The sequence below is a fragment of the Homo sapiens genome, chromosome 13, assembly GCF_000001405.40.
Source record: "Homo sapiens chromosome 13, GRCh38.p14 Primary Assembly".
Classification (NCBI taxonomy): Eukaryota; Metazoa; Chordata; class Mammalia; order Primates; family Hominidae; genus Homo; species Homo sapiens.
The window spans coordinates 82,596,958-82,604,005 of NC_000013.11; the positions used below are offsets into that span (position 1 = coordinate 82,596,958).

General features: G+C 33.8%; 1 annotated feature.

Annotated features, from left to right (window-relative positions):
• Positions 691–1,304: an enhancer, noted in NCBI's record as "OCT4-NANOG hESC enhancer chr13:83171783-83172396 (GRCh37/hg19 assembly coordinates)". NCBI's record gives its function as "activates a minimal SCP1, AML or CMV promoter by ChIP-STARR-seq in primed H9 embryonic stem cells {active_cell/tissue: H9 hESC(primed)}" and the evidence as "EXISTENCE:reporter gene assay evidence [ECO:0000049][PMID:30033119]".

Below are 7,048 nucleotides of genomic sequence, written 5' to 3' on the forward strand. Positions count from 1 at the left end.
GAATGATAGACACCAGAGTCTGGGAAGGGTGTGAGGGTGAGAGGGGGAAATAAATGAAATTTGGTGAATGGGTACACATTGATAGTTAGATAAAAGAAATAACTTGTAATGTTCTATAGTAGACTAGGGTGACCATAGTTGGTAACACTGTATTTTATATTTCTAAGTAGCTGGAAGAGAGGACTTAAAAATGTTACCAACCCATGGAAGTGATACTTAGAAATGGTAAATATTTAAGGTGATGCATACGCCAAATACCCTAAGTTGATCATTCCACATTCTATGCTCACATGTAACCCCCAAATATATAAAATATTATGCATAAAGGAAAAATAAATACATTAAGAGATAATAAATTCAACTAAAGTGGAGATTTTATAGGTATGAAAATGTAGTTAAACATTTGAAAAATTATCAATCAGTATAATTAATTACATGAGTTGAATTAGAAAAATTTCTTGCTTATCCCAATAACGTGCCAACAAACATTTGATAAAAGGCATAGTAAATAGAAAATGAAATGGAACTCTCTTAATTTGATTCATAAGAGTACTTTTGAATAAATATCATGTGAAAAATTATACATGTCTCTGTAAGACAGTTTTGGAAGTTATGACTTGACAAGAAAGCCAAGAAATTTTTAAAAAGAAAGAATACAGAGAAATTAAATAAATAAAACTGTTTTTCTTAGATATATGATTGCAAATGTAGAAATTTCTCCCCTAACCTTCCCAGATTAACTGCTACAACAAATAAATGGAGTTAGTGAGTTGTCTATATAAAGAATTAATAGAGACATTTTTTAAGAAAACTTTTTTTTTCCTAAATGAACGGTATGTAAGTAGAGTGAGTTAGTGAAAAAGCACCAGAGAAAGAGAAGGTTAAGGAGAACCTGGTTTAATATGAATAGGCCACCTGTGTTTGCTAATTGGTATTTATCATAGTTAGGATCCTACCCTCCCACAGAGAATGAAAATAGGGACTCTATCCTTCATGATAATTACATTTCAAAGAGATGGCTCCTGGGTCTTTGAGAAAGACATTCCTGAGCAAAACTGGCAAGAGGCTGGGGGAAGATTTACATCCCCAAGGGAAAGAGAAAAAATTTACAATTGCGAGTTTTCAAAAGTAAGTGCTCTAAAGAAGGGAAGATCAGCCGGCCGCGGTGGCTCACGCTTGTAATCCCAGCACTTTGGGAGGCCAAGGTGGGTGGATCACCTGAGGTCAGGAGTTCGAGACAAGCCTGGACAACGTGGTGAAACTCCGTCTCTACTAAAAAATATAAAAATTAGCCAGACGTGGTGGCGCATGCCTGTAGTCCCAGCTACTCGGGAGGCTGAGGCAGGAGAATTGCTTGAACCCAGGAGGCGGAGGTCGCAGTGAGACAAGATTGCACCATTGCATCCCAGCCTGGGTAACAAGAGTGAGACTCTGTCTCAAAAAATAATTAATTAATTAATTAATTAAAAATAAAAAAGAAGGGGAGGTCGGAGGCCTATTGTCAGGAAGTAACTGGTCTAAAAGTTTAGTCAAGCTAAGAGGAAAATTAAGACCATCTTTGTCAATGTCCATAACAAAAATCAGCATATTTATTTGTTAATTTGACAAAGTTTTTGTTCTTATAGGATATTAGATTTTTCTAGCTATCTTTTGTTACTGGTTCCTTATTCCATTAAATTATGGTCAGCAAATGCAATATGTACAATATTAATTTTTTAAAATCTCTGAGATTTGCATTCTGAAATACTATTTTCCATATATGTTCCAAAAGTTTCTTAAAACAATCATAATTTGCCATTATACACACATACACACACACATACATACACATATACACATATACATATATAAGCACACATCCTTCCATAACTATATACACATATATGGATATATACAAGCATTTATATATACTATAAATGATATTCCACTATAGGATGAGAGATATTTAATATGTTATGAACAGATTTTGCCATACTATATAATACAGAACATGTTCACAATATTAAGAACATAATCTAGAGTACTCAAGCTATAGTTACATGCTTGTTGCTAGACATGAATAGTCTGATTTTCATCAATGTTAGGGCTAAACCAAATATATAAAAGTATTACATGAATATAGGGAAAAAGAACTTAAGAAAATATAATTTTCTGCTGCTTTATCTATGCTTACTAATTATACGAAGTCCTTTGAAATGAATTACTTATTAAGTAAAAGTACTTATTAAGGAATATTTCACAGTAAGTTCAGTAAGTTGGAGAACAATTTCTTTTAACAATTCATATTTCTGCAGATAAACTAAAGATTGTAAGATTATTGGCAAAAAAGTAATGTTAATTAAGAAAGACTTTTGAGGTCCCCACTATTCATTTCTAGAAATAAACTGATATCAGTTTGGTATTAATTTGGGGAATACCTTTTTAATTGTTCAAAATGTTGGACTATGCAATGTAATTAATGACCCAATTTCAATGATTTTTTCATTGTATATTCTTTGACCAAATATAGAAAAAATAGATAACGTAATATGCCTATAAAAATTATCTGGGCAAAATACAACTTTTTCTATTCTTTCCTGAAATTAAACCATGTTGAGCATGGTGTTGCAAAAAATGTCCTGGTAACTCATCAATGGCAATTTTGTGAAATTCAATTATCACTGAATTTTACCTTATACAATTACATTATAAATGAAAAACTTTTTTTCCTGAAAAGAGTCTTAAGTACAAATTAGTTTCAGCAGGGATTCTGTTTTACAAATCATCACAATCTGCTCAACTCACTTCCTGGAGAAATGCCTAAGCTGTTTGGTTAAGAATTATACACTTGGAAAATTCTTGTTTGCTATAATACATATAAAAAAGGATTATAAACCAACAGTGCTGAATAATATTACAGTGTATTATCTTGTGCTTCTTGTCACCTACAGTGACTGATGCTTATCATTCACTTAATTACTGTATTTAAAACATATGTGTTGTTGTCTTTAACCGCTACAGTATTCTATCCTTTAAAATTTCTGGGTTCCCATGTTATTGCTACTAATAATAAGCTGTTTATTCAAGTTTTTCAGAAACAAAAATTTGAATATAGAAAGATTTGTGTATTCACTAGAGTTGATCTTAAAGGAATGTCTAAACAGAAATATAAAATGTCTCACACATAAATTTTAAATAAATATGTCAAATATCTGTTTATGTTGGTTCCAAGAATGTAAGTCAAACTCTTTACCTGTTTATGTATGTGTAAAATAAACAAATAAATAAACAAAAATGACACTTATTTGAAAGGCTGGGGCAACTTTTTAAGCAAGTAAAATAAATTATCTAGTTGATGTTTTTATAAATCCATTCTTATGCTTTTGTCATTATTAAAACAGCATTTTGAGGTCAGTGTTTATACAGAAAGCAGTAATAATAGTAGCACATAATTGTATGCAACTTTATATTTTATAAAAAAACAATTTTTATACTCTATCATTTCATTACTCTTTTTAAACAACAAGGAATAAGACTCATAATCTGTAGAGTCTAGGATTTCTAATTTTCACTTATCTGGGTATCCCACTATAGCATGCTAGAGAAGTATAAATTAAGCCTTATGTAACAGTGGAGTAATAAGTATAGATTATTTTATCGTATGCAACAATAATCATTCCTGAAAGGCGGTAAATCAGATCCAAAGGCCATTGACTGTACATGTTTTAAAAAATCAAGACTGACAAAAAGGGAAAGAAAAACATATGACTACATATCCACATGTACACACACACTGATATAATCAGATTGTGCATTCCAAAATTCATGTGTTGAAACTTAATCTGCAGTGTGATAGTATTAAGAGGTGAGGCCTTTAGGGTGTGACTAAGTCATGAGGCAAAGCCCCCATGAATGAGATTAGCAACTTTATAGAAGAGGTGGGTGGGATCAACACTCCTTTGTTCCTTTTGCTCTCCAGACCATTCTGTCCTCTGTGGACACAGCATCCATCCCTTCCAGAGAACACAGCATTCAAGGCATCGTATCAGAAGCACAGGACTGTGCTCTCACCGGACACCAAACCTGTCAGTGTCTTGATCTTGGACTTCCAGCTTCAGAACTGTGAGAAATAAGTTTATAATCCTTATAAATTACCCAATCTCAGGTATTTTGCTATAGCAGCACTACAGCACTGAGGCATATACAGTGCACAATATTTAACATCAGTTTTCTTGTGAGAATTGTCCACAATTCAAATTCTCAGAAGATATGAGGTGATCTTATTTTGTGTTAATCATGGGACAGGATGTAGGAGCAACACGATTAGGTCGCAGTTTAGCGGCCTTTGCTTAGAAAATTGGGGTGTAGCAAGAGTTGGGGAAAATGGTTTGGGGATAAGATCTAGAAGGGTCATCACCTAAGATACTTAGTCCCGAAGAGTCCTTAGCAAGGAAGGGAACAATTAACATTGTTTTGAAATGTTTCTGTACTATTACTTGATTTCATTTCTTAGAGTTGACAACATATTATTTCTTTAGGTATTTAAAATAATTTGGAACAAAACAATGGTTTCTAAACAAAAATAAGTGATTGTTTTTGTTTGATTCCTTAATAATTGTTTAATATCACTATATTTACCACGTAACAAAGTGTCTTAGTTTAAATGACTCAGTTCTAGGCCAAACACTTGGCAATGCCTTTGTACCTCCAATCCTACTTTCATGTTTATTCTATTGTAAAAACTATAAATGCCACTAAGTTGTATCAATGTACTAAAGAGACTTTTCTATGTTGGTTAAATTTAAGACAGCCCCCATTTGATTGTCATTGGTCATTTCAAACATTTTATATATTAGTTTGTTTTCATACTGCTGATAAAGACATACTGAGACTGGGTAATTTATAAAGAAAAAGAGATTTAATGGATTCACAGCTCCACATGACTGGGAAAGCCTCACAATCATGGCAGAAGGCAAAAGGCACGTCTTACATGGCAGCAGACGAGAGGGAATGAGAGCTAAGCAAAAGGGGAAACCTCTTATAAGACCATCACTTCTCATGAGACTTATTCACTACCATAGGAACAGTATGGAGGAAACTGCCCCCATGATTTAATTATCTCCCACCATGTTCTTCCCACAACACATGGGAATTATGGGAACTATAATTCAAGATGAGATTGGGGTGGGGACACAGCCAAACCATATTATTTGACTTACTAATTTTTTATCAATAACTTACAGGATAGCTCAAAGGTCAAACACTTTGGCTTTCTCTTATTTTCCCTCAAACACTTATTATATATACGTGCTTCCACAGCCAAATATAAACTGGCAAAATTAAGGTCATTATCCTCATAAATAACAGTAAAAACGTGCTTTTGAATAAAATTGAACATAATTTTTAAATTGTCCCTTTCTGATTACCTTGTTAATTTATTTCAACAAATCATTGTGAAATCTTTTCTTGACTTTTACAAAATTTAAAAATATGTAATCATATTTTCTATATTAGTGGCATAATTAGGTTTATATCTAGACCAGAGATATAAGAAGAAATCAGAAATACTTTGAGTAGAGAGCCCACATGGTATTTTACCCTGCTTTGAAATGAACAACTGAGTCTGTCATAGTTTCATAGATTCTGACACTCATGAATTGGCTCACTTGAATGTGGGGGCTGACAAATCTGAAATCTGTAGGACAGGCCAGCAGGCTGAAAACACAGGCAATATTTGAGGCTGCAGTCTTTTTCTGTTTTGTTTTTAATTGACAAAAAATAGCATATTTTTTCATGGTGTACAATGTGATGCATTTATATATGTATGCACTGTGAATGACTAAAACTCATTAACATTTACCTCACCTCACTTATCTTTTAATTTGTGTAAGTAAAAGGGGTGCAAGAGCAATTTTGTTATATGGATGTATTGCCTAGTGGTGGTAAGAACATTTAAAATCTACTCCCTTAGCAATTTTCAGATATACAGCACATTGTTATTAACTACAGTCACCATGCTGCTATGTTGTTTCCTGGGCCTTATTCTTTCTAACTGCAATTTTGTACTATTTGACCAACATCTCCCTCTTCTGTCTTCTTTCTCTGGCCCCTGGTAAGCACCCTTCAACTCTCTCTTTTTTGTGAGTTCAACTATTTATATTCCACATACAAGTGATGTCATTCAGTATTTGTCTTTTTATGCCTGGCTTGCACTGAACATACTGTCCTTCCAGATTATCCATGTTATTGCAAATGCCAAGATTTCCCTTATTTATTTATTTATTTATTTTTGAGCTGGAGTCTCATTCTGTTGCCTAGGCTGGAGTACGGTGGTGCGATCTCAGCTCACTGCAACCTCCATCTCCTGGGTTCAAGCAATTCTCCCACCTCAGCCTCCCAAGTAGCTGGGATTACAGGCACCCACCACCACAGCCAGTTAATTTTTGCATTTTTAGTGGAGACGGGGTTTCACCACATTGGCCAGGCTGGTCTCGAACTCCTGGCCTCTGGTGATCTGCCTGTCTCGGCCTCCCAGAGTGCTGGGACTACAGGCATGACCCACCACATTCGGTCAAGATTTCCCTTTTTTAGGGCTAAATAGTATTCCACTGTGTATCCATATCACATTTATTTACCTAAGTATCTGCTGATGGACACACTGATGGACATTCAGATTTACTTCATATCTTGGCAATTGTGAAAAATTATTCAATAAATATGGGAGTGTAGATATCTCTTGAAGAGCCTGACTTCATTTTCTTTGGATATATATCCTGTAGTGAAATTATTGGATCATATAGTAGTTCTTTTTATAAATTTTTGAATAACTCCTATACTTTTTCTCATAATGGCTGTCCTAATTTACATTTTTAGCAAGAATATACAAAGGCTCCCTTTTCTCCACATTTATGTCAACACTTGTTATCTTTCATCATTTTCATGGTAGCCATTCTAGCAGATATGAGGTTATATCTCATTGTGGATTTAATTTCATTTCCCTGATGTGTGATGTTGAGCATATTTTCTTATACCTAGATAGCTGTTGGACATTTGTATTTCTTTTTTAGAA